This window comes from Homo sapiens, chromosome 5 (genome assembly GCF_000001405.40).
Source record: "Homo sapiens chromosome 5, GRCh38.p14 Primary Assembly".
NCBI classification, from domain to species: domain Eukaryota; kingdom Metazoa; phylum Chordata; class Mammalia; order Primates; family Hominidae; genus Homo; species Homo sapiens.
In genome coordinates this window covers 75,391,727-75,407,991 of record NC_000005.10, presented here as the reverse complement: position 1 = coordinate 75,407,991, position 16,265 = coordinate 75,391,727, and the positions used below count along the sequence as shown (strand labels likewise).

General features: G+C 37.2%; 1 protein-coding gene across 9 annotated transcripts in view, besides 1 other annotated feature; it reads left to right on the top strand.

The window, feature by feature from the left end:
• The window catches only part of CERT1 (ceramide transporter 1), a 143,496-nt gene that overhangs the window by 103,990 nt on the left and 23,241 nt on the right, over nucleotides 1-16,265 (top strand). For 6 of the 9 annotated variants that reach the window (XR_007058566.1, XM_011543090.4, NM_001379002.1 and 3 more), the window contains 3 exons: nucleotides 4,934-5,020; nucleotides 7,695-7,787; nucleotides 8,605-8,682. Coding sequence is in view for 8 of the 9 variants with exons in the window: in XM_011543090.4 (XP_011541392.1) it covers nucleotides 4,934-5,020; nucleotides 7,695-7,787; nucleotides 8,605-8,682 (258 nt within the window). In the remaining variant the exon portion in view is untranslated. The remainder of the gene's footprint in view (nucleotides 1-4,933; nucleotides 5,021-7,694; nucleotides 7,788-8,604; nucleotides 8,683-16,265) is intronic. The other 3 variants (NM_001379003.1, NM_031361.3, NM_001379004.1) reach the window with 1 other exon arrangement.
• Nucleotides 2,381-2,581: a silencer, noted in NCBI's record as "peak5292 fragment used in MPRA reporter construct". NCBI's record gives its function as "represses an SCP1 promoter by STARR-seq MPRAs in K562 erythroleukemia cells {active_cell/tissue: K562}" and the evidence as "EXISTENCE:reporter gene assay evidence [ECO:0000049][PMID:32103011]".

Here is a 16,265-nt window from a genome sequence, read left to right as displayed (position 1 = left end):
TTACATTGCAATGTGCATATACAGTAATTAACACTATTGTACTATACACTTAAAAATTGTTAAGATGGTCAATTTTATGTTTTTTTTTTTTACCATAATAAAAAAAAAACAATTGTGCCAAAAAAAAAAAAAAAAGAATTCCTTCATTATTTTATCACGCTTTAAGGCCCAGGAAAGGCCTAGGCAAAACTCTTGATGGGCTTTTGTTACATCCCAGCCTTTGTATAAGGGCACTGGCTTTTAATATTTAACTTAAACATTCAGTCAGTACTGAAATGGTTGTTTAGTGAGACCTGGCCTGTGACAAGTTCACTTTGGATAATGGCCTCCAGCTCCATCCATGTTGCTGCAAAGAATATGATTTCATTCTTTTTTATGGCTGCCACGTTTCTTTTTTACGATTAACTTGGCCATGTCCTTTGGTTGTTTTCTTATTCGTTTTTTTTGTTTGTTTGTTTGTTTGGGTTTTTTTTCCCTATTGATTTAGAAGATGTATAGAATTTGCCTTTTTTTTTTTTTAATTTTTTTCCTTCGTACCTTAAAAAAGTTTGGTAGATTTTGACATATAAAAGTTTTAAACCTTCGTGTAATTAACTCCTCAGTCCTTTGATCCACTTTTCTCCACATTTGGTATCATGCTTAGAAGGGCATTTTCTATTTTAAATAATCATATTTTCTAATTTTTTATTTTCCAATGGTCTCTTCTAAATATATTAATACATCTGGAGTTTTTAAAATAATGATACAATATAGAAACCTATTTTATTCCACTAGCATTTGTTGAATAAACATCCTTTATTCACCTATTTGAAATGCACTTTACTCTTTCTTAGTGAAGAAACTGGTTAAGGGTACTCTAATTATTTTTTTTCTCACTAAGTTAAATTAAATATACAATTCTTTAGATAAACTGGGAACTGTTTTTACACTTCCCCTTCTTTTGGAGTTTTGAACCATCTATCTTTTCTTGTAACAATATTATAGTCGTATGGGTTTTAGACACTTAATTCAAACTATGACTCTTTTTGGTTATAATCAGACATTCATGATGTTCTAATTATAAAAAAGTTCTAAGTGTTTCTGACTTCTGTAGCCTCAGAAATTACTTTATAATCTTAAATTTATTCCTTAAGACTTACCATAATGTGGCTGGGTGTGGTGGCTCACATCTGTAATACCAACACTTTGGGAGGCCGAGGCGGGCAGATCACCTGAGGTCAGGAGTTCAAGAGCAGCCTGGCCAACATGGTGAAACGCCCTCTCTACTAAAAATACAAAAATTAGCTGTATTAGGCATGGTGGTGTGCACCTGTAGTCCCATCTACTCGGGAGTCTGAGGCAGGAGAATTGCTTGAACCGGCAGGCGGAAGCTGCAGTGAGCCAAGACCTCGCTACTGCACTCCAGCCTGGGCAACCAACTGAGACTCCATCTCAAAAAAAAAAAAAAAAGACTTACCATAATGTAGGGCACTACACTAGGCTTGGAGAATACAACAAGAAACAAGGCTTATAAGGATCCTGCCTAAGGGCCCTACCTGAATGCATAATGGGAACAAAGGCTAATAGACAGTTATCATAATGTATGTCATGAAACACTTTTAATGCAGGGAAGGTGTTGAATCAGAGATGTCTTCCCGGAGGGAAAGAACCTCTTAGGAGGAAAGAACCTCTTAGCAGAAACCTTAAGAATGAGTAAATTGAGTAAAGAGTGTTTTCCAGTAGTCAGAAGCAAAATAATATTTTTCCTCAGGGGAACTGAAAGTAATTCTCTTTGGAAGGTAGAGCCTCCACAAATTGAGAGGAAAGAATGGTTAAGAGACTGACTGGAAAGATCAACAAGAATTAGTTCAGATCCTGAGACAATAGGTTTTAATCAAGAAAATGACATTTTCACATTTGCAGTTCAGAAAAGTCATTCTCCCTGCAGTAGGAAGAATGGATTGAAAGTAACAATTGTGACTGGGCACTTGGACACTTTTTGTATAATATAGATGAGAGTTGAAGGTGGCCTAAATTAGAGTCAAAGCAGGAGGAATAGAGAGGCACTGACAAATTAGATACAGTAATCCCATTGTATCAGTGGTTGGGGGGGATACATTACAAGACCCCCCCCCCCCCCAGTAACTGCAGATAGTACTGAACCCTATATACACTGTTTTTTCCTATATGTGCTATGTTTTTTCCTATATGTATGTACCTGTGATAAAGTTTAATTTTTATTTTAACAATAATAAAATAGAACAATTATAGTACTGTATTATAGTAAAAAGTTATATGAATGTAGTCTCTTTCTCTCTCAAAATATCTTATTGTATATAAACCACATAAATCAAAACCACAGATGGGGGAGACTATTGTATTTGGAAAGTAGAATTGAAGGGTGTGATGATTGAATGAGGGAAAAGGAAGGAATCCAAGATTAGGCCCAGGTTTCTGCAGATACGTGTGGAGATAGAAGAGGAGGTTTCAGACACGTTGCAATTGAGGTGAGTCATATGAGGAAGTCTTCTATATTAGATACAAAGATCTGACCCTTAGAAGAGAGATGGTCTGGCTGTGAATTTAGGAGTCATCAAAGGATGACTGAAGCGTTGGATATAAGTAAGAATGCTGTGGGTAGAGCAAGTATGGAACCCTGAGGAACACCAACATTTAAAGGATAGGCAGAGAAGGGGAAACCTACAAAGGAGCCCCATAAGAGTGCTTAGAGAGGGAGAGGGGAATTTAGGAATCTAAGGGTAGAGAACTCTTCAAGGAGAGTTGTTAACATAAGAAATGCTATTCTAAGGGGGCAGATAAGTAGCTCCTGCCCTTAGTAAGCATGATGAGATAAAAGGGTTTTTTTTAAAGTCCCTTTTAATAAAGAAAATTTTATGCCAATTCCTTTAGTTCCTCTCCCAAAGGTTTACCATTAAAGGAAAAACCATTTCATTTGGCAAAATAGAATTTTTGTTGTTGTTGTTGTTGTTGTTGTTTGAGACTGAGTCTTGCTCTACCACCCAGGCTGGAGTGCAGTGGTGCGATCTTGGCTCACTGCAACCTCTGCAACTTCCGCCTCCCAGGTTCAAGCAATTATTGTGCCTCCTCCTCCTGAGTACTAGGTTTATAGACGTGCTCCACCACACCCACTGATTTTTGTATTTTTGATAGAGACAGGTTTTCGTCATGTTGGCCTGGCTAGTCCAGAGCTCCTGGCCTCATGTGATCTCCCCTCCTTGGTCTCCCAGAGTGCTGGGTTTATAGGCATGAGCCACCATACTTGGCCAGAATTTTTAAATGCTGTAGTTTTCAATTAGACTCCTGAGGCTCTGACATGATTGCTTAAGGACTAGAAATCCACATGTACTAAATCACTGTAGATTGAATGAATATTAATATTTTTTAAATGTAGATGTGGTTAAATAGTATTTAAAATCATTAGAAAATATGCTTGAGTTTGGATATTTTGTGTTTTCTCTGATCAACAGAGAGCAAAGTTGTCCTGCTGTCATTTTACTGTCTTTGAAATGTTTTGATTTTGTAAAGAGAATCCTGCAGGAGGAAGGCCTCTAGGGTGTTGTTACTATTTTTTCATGACCCTCTTGTCCCAGATGGTCATTAGATGGTATATTCACTTTGTGATGCTTCACTAAGATATGCACTGTTCTGTATGTTTGTTGTATCTGAATAGAAAGTTGTTTTTTTTTTTTTTTTTTTTTTTATGAAGTAGGTTGTAGGGGACTGAGTCCTCATAACCCTAAAAGAAGAACTCCATTAAGTCAACATTTCTTATATGCCAAATGACAAGAACGTGACCCCATACCTCCCACCCTTCCAGTGTAGTTCCAGGTTATGGTGGGGATAGGACGATGTTGCTAGATACTTTTTAATGGACTAATGATGACTTGGGGTTATGAGTTTAACTGGGAAGATTTCACCAATTGTTCATGTGTCTTATTTTATATATTTTAACATTTAAGAAATGCTAAACCCAAGCCTACCTTTTAGTCTCTACTTTTATCATAATACAAAGCTGTTGTTCCACTTACTTGGTTCATCACAGCAGGAACATATGTTGATTGTTTACATTTTGTTATTGTTCTTTGTATGTTTATCTTCTGATGCAGCTGAGGTTCCACTTGCATGGGAATCACTTGAGGGAATTATTAAACATGTATATTCCAAGGTTCCACTGAAGACCTACTAAGAAATAATTTTTGGCCATGGAGGCCTGGGAATTTTCATTGTAAGAAGTCTCCCACACAATTCCCCAAGTGATTGATGGCCATTATTCTGCCATCTAGCCAGACTATCAAGCATCAACTCAACTTTTATTTCCCCATGAAACAATTACCTGTGCTTAGGAAGATCCGCCTCTGAATGCCTAGCCGTACTTATTAGCTATAGTTCTTGTGCAAATTTTTACTTACCTCATTGCAATTTTATATCTCTGTTGTCTCTGTCATAAGTCTCAACTCTGCTACTAAAGAAGCCCTAGATAATATATAGCTGAATGAGCATCACTGTTTTCCAGTAAAACTTTATGGACACCAAACTTTTAATTTCAAGTAATTCACACATGTCATATTATTACTTTTATTTTTTCCAGCCATTTAAAAATGAAATTCTTAGCTCACAGGCTGTACAAAAGTAGGCAGCAGACTGGATTTGGCCCTTGGGCCATAGTTTTTGCCAATCTCTGCTCTAGACTATTATCCCAACACAATATTGGTCAATATACAGTAAGTAAATATATGAGTACTGAGTGAATTAATTGTAACACTCGTGATTTTACACAGAGCATGCATATGATCTAGTATACTGACTGCTTTGTAAATATGTGTTCAATAAATGTTTATTAGGTCAATTTTCAAACTCAAGTTAATACCAGAGTTATCAGAGTTTTCTGTTTCTTTAAATAAACTGCTTTTTTCTCCACTGTGTGTTGGAATAGGAAGGCCCTAACAGTCTGATTAATGAAGAAGAGTTCTTTGATGCTGTTGAAGCTGCTCTTGACAGACAAGATAAAATAGAAGAACAGGTATATCTATTATTGAAAATTCTAAGCTGAAATTTATTTTAACACTATAGGCATTCCTTGGTGTATATTATTTCATGTAAATAGAATTTGAACATTGTGAACTTAATAACCTAGAAGCTTAACTGTGAATACATTGAGTCACAAATGTAAAATAATCTTTTTTTTTTTTTTTGAGACAGAGTCTCGCTCTGTTGCCCAGGCTAGAATGCAGTGGCGCGATCTCGGCTTACTGCAACTTCCACCTCCTGGGTTCAAGCGATTCTTCTGCCTCAGCCTCCCGAGTAGCTGGGACTACAGGTGCGCGCCACCGTGCCTGACTAAATTTTTTTGTGTTTTTAGTAGAGACGGGGTTTTACCATATTGGCCAGGCTGGTCTCGAACTCCAGAGCTCATGATCCACCCGCCTCAGCCTCCCAAAGTGCTGGGATTGATTACAGGCATGAGCCATGGTACTGGCCGTAAAATAATCTTTATAAGTCAGTTCCTTTATATGTGAATTTCCAAGCAATAGAAAGAAAACCAATAATTGTTAAAAGGAACCATGCGTAATTAACATGAACTTAAATAGAAATGCTCTTTTTGCTTATTTCCCTTTAAGTGTCCAGCTTAAAACATTCTTTTAATATAAAGCATATATTTAGTCTAAGTAAAAAGCTTCTTTGAATTTTTCTTCACCAAGTATGATATGAAAAGGAAGATGACCAAAAACTTAAGGTTTTTCATCTATATTAGTATTGTTTTTATTAACCCCTTTATTACCTTCACTACTTCACCTTCAGTTTCTTTCTCACTTTTGCTTTGTTCAGTGTTTTGTCATCATTATTGAGTGTATAGCAGTTACACCCAGCTGCTGTGGAAATTGAAGAAAAGTATTTCTTAAACCCATTAACTAGCTTCAAGATTAATTTGATACTTTGTCTTCTTTAATTTGGCAACAGTACAGTTACCATACGTTACAACTAGATGGTACTTAAGGATGAATTTTGTTATTTCCTCCCCTTGTTTAAGCTATGCTAGTTATGGTGGAAGCTTAACCTTTTTGGGGGGCAAGTATTAATAAACTGTGGCTACAGAGTATCTTGCCAAATAATCATGTATGTGTCAGTTTTATACTACAAATGAATTTGCATAGAAAAGTTGGCTTGTTCGTTTCTTATCATTGCTAAGACAGTCATGGCTATTATGCTCTTATTGGTCTACCTAAGGGTAAATCACCTGCAGTAGTAACTGCTTCTCATGTGTATCTTTCGTTATTTTTTTAAAAATTACTGATAAAAAGTTCATGTCACATTAATTTGTAAAGCTTATTGCTCATTTTTTTTATACCCAAAAGATGCTATGTACCACTCAAGAAGAGTGGGAACTTTTAGTTCCTAAATGGGCTCTACTTTTGGAAACCTAAAGTACTACCTGAAGTAGCATTATTTATTTGTTTCCCTTAGTTTTTTGTCTAGGATGTGCTGTTTTGGGAAAAAGTAGTGAATGAGTCAAGACACCTCAGTCTTACTCTTAGTTTTACCTCTAACTAACTTTGTAGCTATGAACTTATCACTGAATTCTCTGGGCCTTGGTTTTCTAATCTGTGAAACAAAGGAGACAAGATGATTCAAAACATCTCTTCTCTCTAAAATGCTACTCTACTGAATATCAGTATGGTGATTGAGTTGGGTTTGAGAGAATTGATGAACCCTTCCGTAAGCTTTAGAAAAAGAAATATTCATGGGGCCATCCAATCAACTTCATTCTATTCTTGACACTGTACTAGATGCTCTGCAAAATAGTCATTGAACAGAGCATTGTTTTTCTTGCCTAAGAGCCAGGCATGTTGATATGACAGAGATACAGTGTGGTAATACTCTATAGAGTAGTGAGAGCTTCAGTAATCCATAAAATCAGTTCCATAGATTTAGATCATTTCCCTCTTCATATTCAGTGTATATTGCACAGATCTCTCAACAACACAGCCATTAAATAGATATTCTCCAAGTGACACTTACATCACACATGTTTGAGTTTACGTTACTTGCAAACATAGGGAAAGAAAGATACATGGGATAAACTGGTGCATGAGAAATGAGATCTTAGCAGTTGGTTGAAATAAATGAGAACAACTGAGGCAAACTAAAGAGGAAGAAGGGCAAGTGGCAGCTTAACAGGAGTAAGATGATGAGATGAAGGGCAGAATACCTTCATGGAGAGGAGGCAAAGAGATATACATGATATGTTCTTAGGAACATAACTGAAGCAAACAATGATATTATTTCTAATTATATATAAACCTGTGAGTCAGCCTTCCAGGGGCGGCCTGCTAAGGTAGAATCATTGGAATGATTTGGCCAGGGTTTGGATAGGAGAGAATTGGCAGCAGCGTTAAGATTGACCCATGATAAATAATGCTATGCAGGTAGCAGGGAGTCTGACTAGGAGCAAAATCAACGAACTTATCCCTTGCCTAACATAGTATCTGTGGAGTCAGAAAGAAGAGGTTAAATTGGGATATCTGAGGCAAGTATCAGGATTTGCCATGTCTGCGGAGTAGTTTCATAATTCTAATGGTTATAAGCACTAAGGCGTTCACTAAGTGAATGTTGGTAGTTCCAGGTTATATTATCCATTCTTGAGTTACAAAATACACTTTAAAACCTTCCCATCTTAATATTATATGTTTTTTTAGTCACAGAGTGAAAAGGTGAGATTACATTGGCCTACATCCTTGCCCTCTGGAGATGCCTTTTCTTCTGTGGGGACACATAGATTTGTCCAAAAGGTAAGCTAATGTCAGAGTTTACTAAAAGTACACCTTGTATTGTTCTTCATTGTTGGTGGAAATATCTTTTATTTGAGACGGAGTCTCACTCTGTCACCAGAGTGGAGTGCAGTGGCGCGATCTCGGCTCACTACAGTCTCCACCTCCCGGGTTCAAGAGATTCTCGTGCCTCAGCCTCCCTGGTAGCTGGGATTACAGGCATGTACCACCACACCCAGCTAATTTTTGTATTTTTAATGGAGACAGTTTCACCATGGCCAGGATGGTCTTGATCTCCTGACCTTGTGATCCACCCACCTCAGCCTCCCAGAGTGCTGGGATTACAGGCGTGAGCCACCATGCCCAGCCGGAAATATCTTGTAGTATATAAGTTTTCTCCCCTTTTCATTAATTTAAGTAATGAGACTGTTTTTGGTTTTATATATTGTATTCCATATACATCCTCCAAAACAGTTAGAAATTTTGTTCTGAAAATAAAGTTCTTTCATTTTTATTTAAGGGGAAAGTTGGGGGTGGGCAAATAAGGAGTGGCTAGTCCAAAATAGTTAACCAGAAGTATATCCAGTTATACTAAATCTCTCTCTTCTTTGGGGTTAAATGGTATTACTTTGTATTATTGGAAGCACTACATTCTTTTTTGGAATGATTTTGGAACATAATACATAATAGGTGCATGAAGTCAGCAGTTGCTGCTGTGCTTGTTTCATATAGTGCTTTGTTTTCTCTTCCCTTTATCTTGTGTTTGGAAGTTGGTACTGAATGCTCTGTTGTGCCTTTGTTCTGATTACTTGGTTTTTTCTTTGTCTGTCTCTGGTAGCCCTATAGTCGCTCTTCCTCCATGTCTTCCATTGATCTAGTCAGTGCCTCTGATGATGTTCACAGATTCAGCTCCCAGGTACTGTATGAATGTATAGAGTGGACTTGAGTCTTTCTGTGCTATATTTCAGCCTGCTTTCCCAGTTCCTAGAAATCTTTTGGTTAGGCCACTGATTTTAGTTTTGAATTTTAAATAGTAACATTAAGCATTAAAAAGGTCTTCCTTGTCTACTAAATAGTTCCTCTGTCAGGTTTGCATGTGTCCTTTACTATTCACAGCTTGGAATTTTGTCATATAGGAGGTACTCCAGAAAGATTTTCAAACTGAATTGAAACAAATAGAAGATACTGGGTTTTGTATATCATGTAATATCTGTTTCTTCAGTCAGGATTTAGCAGTTTTGATGGACGTGGTCTATATGATATGTTATAGCAGAAAAGCAGATTTTAACAGTCTCACTTTTAAGCTAAAGTATCTCCAAATTATATTCAACAAGGAAATCACTTTTTAATAATATGTTTCATTTCCATTATAATACTAAGCTCTATTGAGCAGATTGTGTTTTCCTTATGCAAATTACCTTTGGATATTATAAATGAATATTTCTGTTCATATGCTAAATCTATGGAAATTTGTTTTAATTTTTAGCATTGGTAAGGGTTTAGGAATTTAAGACAGGAAGCTGGATGCTTGCGGTCTCTAAAGTCTGTACCCTCAAAATAAAATCAGATTACCATTGGAAGAAGTTTTTTTTAGTGTCAGCGTTAGTTCTTTTTTTAATTTTCTTAATCTTCACATCTTTGCCATTCAACTTTTTATCTTTCTGGTGATTGCATTTTATTGGACTAGATTATATTATGTTAATCTTATATTAAAGACCTGAGCACTCTGGTCAGAATGACTCAGTTTAAACCCTGGTTAGGTGTATGATCCCAGTAAGTTTTCTAACTTTTTTGTGCTTCATTTTTATGATTTAGCTAGAACCTGACACATAATAAGTGCTCAATAAATGTTACCTTGTATTGCTATTATAACATAATTTCTTTGAGCTAATAAAAGTTATCTACATCATTATTTTTTCCTCTGTGAGAGTATTGCTATAAAAGTTTTTAAAAGTCATAGTTTAAAGAGATTTCTATTATTTTTATGTTTATAAATAAAGTTTACATTAGTTTTTAACCTGCAATAGAGAAGAATATTAAGACTTTAATTTTTCTGACTTGTACAGCGTTTTTCTCCTTGAATACTCTTAAGAAAAAGATTTAGCAATTCTGGATCAGAAATCATCCATAACCAAATATACCACAGTATATTTTACCTTTTGCTTGTCCATTTATGCATTTTTTTTTAATTTTACTTATTTATTTTCGAGACAGGGTCTTGCTCTGTTGCCCAGGCTGGAGTGCAGTGGCACGATCTGGGCTCACTGCAACCTCCATCTCCCAGGTTCAAGCAATTCTCCTGCCTCAGCCTCCCAAGTAGCTGGGATTACAGGCACGCACCACTATGCCCAGCTAATTTTTGTATTCTTAGTAAAGACGGGTTTTCACCATGTTGGCCAGGCTGGTCTAGCACTCCTGACCTCGTGATCTGCCCACCTCGGCCTCCCAAAGTGCTGGGATTACAGGTGTGAGCCACCATGCCCGGCCCTGCGTATGTTTTTAAAAAGAGACTCATATTCATAATGAATCTGTGACAAAACTACATAATACTGGGAGACTTTGGTTTATTGTGCTAAGCTCCACATTGCATTAAAATCATATCACAGACTAATCAAAAATGCAGGAATACATAGGCTATAAATGAAAGAAAATATAATGACAGCAAAGAAAGAATGTAAGCCAGTAATAAAGAATGCCTAAGAATTAGGGGTTCAGAACCCAAACCAGGGCCCTCACTGTAGTGCTGTAGAACAGCTGAATTGCTTTTAAGTCCAGGTAACTATATCACTGAGAAGCAGGTGCCTATATTTTTACAAAATTTTGCTGACAGCTTACTTCTTCGTAATATTAATAACCTTTTGTAAAACTCATGTATGTAACTTGAGAGAAATCTTGCTGGATTTTTTTCTCTAATATATGGTGCTCATGATTGATCAGATCCTGTTTTAGCCTTTGATTATGTACTGTTTTATATGCCAGAAGAGGTAAAAATGAAGAAAATAACATTAAGGTCTTCAAGTATTTGTTGTCCTTGCTAAAGCATTAGTTGTCATTAGCAGACGTGGACTCTAGCAATTCACTGTTGTAATTAAATTGTGTGCCTTATGTTCAGCAGTTCCTTTATAATAGATGACTAATTCCCAATTGATAAGATTTTTTGTTTCAGAGGATGTTACACTGCCTTATCAGCCATTATCAAAGGATCTAGCAAGTTGATTCTGTATAGTCACACTTGAGAATATAGCATTGGATGTAGATCTGGAGTTAATATTAGTTGAGAAACATTGTGTTATCTGGAAAACTCTTCCAGTTCAACACAGTGTAAAATTATAGTAGTGACTATACAGTAGTGTTACATTTTACAGTTCTCACACCCTATAGAGACTTTTGTATTAAGCAAAATAAGAGGCTCAAAGGTTATTCATTAACATTAGAAACACTTATGTTATATTACATTGCATCGGTCTTTTCTGTTTTTTGTTTTTTTTTTTTTTTTGAGACGGAGTTTCGCTTTTGTTGCCCAGGCTGGAGTGCAATGGTACGATCTTGGCTCACTGCACCCTCTGCCCCCTGGATTCAAGCGATTCTCTTGCCTCAGCCACCTGAGTAGCTGGGATTACAGGCACCTGCCACCACACCCAGCTAATTTTTTTTCATTTTTAGTAGAGATGGGGTTTCACCATGTTGGCCAGGCTGGTCTCGAACTCCTGACCTCAGGTGATCTGCCCGCCTCGGCCTCCCAAAGTGCTGGGATTACAGGCATGAGCCGCCACACCTGGCCTACATCGTTCTTAATACACAAATATACATCAGTTACTCCACAGCGCTTGATATGGGAGGTAACCAAATTCTTTGTTTTATAATATCTTCATAATTAATTAAAAAACTAAGTCGACATTTTTAATCACCTTTAATAATTTGCCAAAATATTATATAAGCATAATATAATCAATTCTTACTTACTCCAACAAATTTTAAAAGTCCAGATACAGATACCATATCTAGTTTCTTGATCATTTATATCAGCTCCCATACAGAAGCCTTCTAAATCTCTGGTAATTTCACTTTGCTGTTTATATAAGTGTTGGCTCATGACTACCTTGTTCTTCTTGAAATGATGTTTTATAGCCTTGAATTGGCTGAAATAATCAAGTGTACAATTGAGAGATGCCCTGAAAACAGCTTAAAATAAAATATGTACATCTACTAGGAAATTAGTACCAACACATGAATCTGTCTGATGGGCAGATATTAGGAATGAAGTCACTCCAGATCTGAGAAATTAAAGTTGTAAAGGACTGCAAGTTCTGTGTTTTTGTTGTTGTTGTTGTTGTTGTTGTTGTTTGTTTTTTCATTTTTGTTTTTTGGGTTTTTTTGAGACAGAGTCTCATTCTGTCACCCAGGCTGTAGTGCAGTGGCACGATCTCAACTCACTGCAACCTCCGTCTCCCAGGTTCAAGCGATTCTCCTGTCTCAGCTGGGATTACAGGCACACGCTATCACACCCAGCTAATTTTTGTATTTTTAGTAGAGACAGGGTTTCACCATGTTAGCCAGGCTGGTCTCGAACTCCTGACCTCAAGTGATCTGCCCGTCTCGGCCTCCCAAAGTGCTGGGATTACAGGCCTGAGACACCATGCCCAGCATTTTTTTTTTTTTTTTTTTTTTTTGTAAAGAGACAAGGTTTCACTTGTCCAGGCCAAGTGCAGTGGCATGATCATAGCTCTGTAACCTGACCTCTGACCTCTGACTTCCTGGACACAAGTGATCCTCCTGTCTCTCAGCCTCCCAAGTAGCTGGGACTACAGGCATTCCACCACACCCAACTAATTGTTTTTATTTTTTGTAGAGACAGGGCCTTGCTATGTTGCCCAGGCTGGCAAGTTCTTGAAATAATGGCTGTGGCCACAAACTAGAAAATAATTTTCAGGTGTACAGAGAATAGAAAGAATTTAGATTCATAAATTGATCATTTTGTTCACAGTTATTTGCATAACACAGTTCACATTTAAAGGTGTCACCTTAGAAATCAAAGGGGAAGAACATCATCCTCTATTGAAAAAGAAAGAAATCAAAGGATGTACAGTGAATTTGCAGCTTAATCTATGGGGAGCATCATTGCAAAAAATGGTTCTGTGTGAGGCTCTTTCCCACCCTTTGTCCATAGGAGCACATTATTGTTGTAGTAATTATTTCACCCCTCTCCCTTTTTCAGTGTACAAGTGATACATGCTAATTTTAACAGAACTTGAAAGTAGAATAAAATTAAAATAATAGTTTACTAATATTCCATTTATCTTCTCTCATATATATGAGATAAATATTAAGGTGTATGTACTTATCCATATGTGCCTGATTTTTTAAAATCCTTGTATATGCATCTTTGCACCCTTATCTAATTATTTCCTTAGAATATATTCCTAGAAGCATAATTGTGGGAACAAAGGCCATGAACATTTTCAAGTGTTTATTTTATTATTTTATTTTATTTTTATTAATTTTGATACAGGGTTTTGCTTTGTTCCCCAGACTGGAGTGCAGTGGTGAGATCACCACTCACTGCACCTTGACCTCCTGGACTCAAGCGATCCACCTGCCTCAGTCTCCTCAGTAGCGGGGGCTAAGGACTACAGGCACATGCCATCATGCCCAGCTAATTTTTTTATTTGTAGCAGAGACGAGGTCTCACTGTGTTGCCCAGGCTGCTATTTTATTTATTTTTTAAGAGATAGGGTCTCATTCTGTCTTCCAGGCTAGAATGCAGTGGCACAATCATAGCTCACTGCAACCTCAAGCGATCTTTGCCTCAGCCTGAGTAGCTGGGACTACAGGCATGGGCCACCACTCTCAGCTAATTTTTTTTTCAATTTTTTATTTTTTGTAGATATGGGGGTCTCACTGTGTTGCCTAGGCTGGTCTTGAACCCCTAGCCTAAAGTGATCTTCCCACCTCAGCCTCCCAAAGTGCTAGGATTACAGGCCACAGGCCTCAGCCAAGTTTTAAAAATTTTTACTGCCAAACTCTTCATTAGAAAAGTTGAACCAGCTTACATTCCCAGGCCAGTTTTCTATTGATATAGTAGCACTGAATATTATAATTCAGTTAACTTTTGTCAATACGGTAGGCTAAAAGTGCTATGTTCTTAGCCATCTCTCTTTTGGGTTAACAGTGCACTATTTTGTTATTAATAATTATTCTATCTAACAAGCCCCCTCTATGGTTTTGTGGCTTTGTAGTAAGCATAGTTGTATTTCCTTTTTTGAGGTGGAGTCTTGCTATGTTGCCCAGGCTGGAGTGCAGTGGCGCGATCTCGGCTCACTGCACCCTCCGCCTCCCGGGTTCAAGTGATTCTCCTGCCTCAGACTCCTGAGTATCTGGGACTACAGGCATGCACCACCACGCCCAGCTAATTTTTTATATTTTTAGTAGAGAGGGGAGTTCACCGTGTTAGCCGGGATGGTCTCTATCTCTTGACCTCGTGGTCCGCGTGCCTCAGCCTCCCAAAATGCTGTGATTACAGGCATGAGCCACCCTGCCTGGCCAACATTTCTTTTACATGCATAAAAGAGATCTGAGCTGTTTTTGAGCCCTTCTAGACTTTCTTTTTTTTTTTTTTTTTTTTTAAGTAGATGAGGTCTTGCTATGTTGCCGAGACTTAACCTCAAACTCCTAGGCCCAAGCAATCCTCCCAAGCTGCTGGGACTACAGGCATGAACCACCATGCCCAACTTAGACTTTTATTGTACTATCAAAAGGCAATTTTCTTTTCAAATTTCTGGGTAATAGTGTTAGAAAAATCCTACTTGGTAACATCCAGAAATGGCATCATACTGAGTGATTCAAATGTGAGATGGAAGAAAAGGTTAGAATTGGAGTGAACGTCCCCTCTTATCTCAAATGTATTTTATCTCCATTTTGTTTCATAGTTTATTAGTTTGAAGATGCTTTGAATGTCACCTAATCATTTTCAACTCTAGGTCCAGAAAAATCAAGGGCATGATTTCTGAAATTACACTTAGCCTAATTAAAACTTAGAAACACTGTTCACCTTCTTCAATGTTTTTGACTGAGTCTTTTTCATTTATAAGTGACAGGAGGTGTTACTATAACATTATTTCCTAGAATGTCAAATTTTGAGCCTAATAGCATGGTAAATTTGGCTATATTTGTTGTTTTTTGTTTTTGTTTTTTTTTTAATGAAACTTAGTATTTCCTTGTTTCCCACTTCTTTTTTTTTTTTTTTTTTTTTTTTTTTTGAGACGGAGTCTCTCTCTGTCATCCAGGCTGGAGTGCAATGGCGTGATCTTGGCTCACTGCCACCTCCGCCTCGCAGGTTCACGCTATTCTCCTTTCACAGCCTCCTGAGTAGCTGGGACTACAGGCACCCACCACCACGCCCGGCCAATTTTTTTGTATTTTTAGTAGAGACGGGGTTTTACCATGTTAGGCAGGATGGTCTCGAACTCCTGACCTTGTGATCTGCCCGCCTCAGCCTCCCAAAGTGCTGGGATTACAGGCGTGAGCCACCGCACCTGGCCTCCCACTTCTTTTTAATATGTCGTGTCATAACTGAACAGTAAAGTGAGCAGATTATCAGGTTAAATCTGAAGTGTCAGTCTGGTCACCAGTGCCCAAGTTACTGCCCCTATGGTAATATTGGTTACTTTGTATTTTCCTACAGCAAACATAAAATTTGTTATAGTGAGATTTTTACCTGTATACCTCTCTTAACTTTAATGTTATTACCTCAAGGAAGATATTATCATGAATGAAGATTCCATGATGAAAGTTTTGCAGAGTTTATTGCAGTAATTTAGTACTTCATTAGAATCTTTAGTTTTTTAGGAGCACAGTACTGAATGTTTGTTTCTTTGTTGGACCTTTTGAAAACCGGTTTTCCATTGATGCAGTGTAGCTGTTACAGGAATATCATTTTTAAAACGTTTTTATACAGCATGGCTGAAAATTGAACCTGGGCCTCCCTCGTGGCCTACCATTGAAGGAACAGCATTTTTTGCCTATCTAGAAAGACAATGTTAAATGTGCTATCTATATATTTTTTAACTTGTGCTACCTACTACGCGTTTATATTTGTGGAATCTGTTTTCTTTTGGACAAAACCACAAATCAAAAACACCTCATTTCTTAGGCATTTGAAATCCCTAATTCAGAATAATCTCCCAAACAGAAACACAACTACCTGCATTCTTTTTGACAAAAGAGCTAAGTAGCATTAGAAAATTATTTTAAACCCAATTCTGTTTTTTAACAGAATAAAATTCTTCTGTTCTTCACATTCTTCTTTCATAGGTAACCTATTGAAAGTAGGGTTTATTTGGGGGAAGCATTTCTTTCTGTCTCTTATCTCATAATAAATACAGGTGTGCTTAACTACTAGTTTCCTACCTCAAAGATATACTCAAATCTAAAGATGTTTAAGATTTTGGGATCTGAAGAGTAAACATTTCTCCTAATCACAATGTGACAGAGACAAATGAA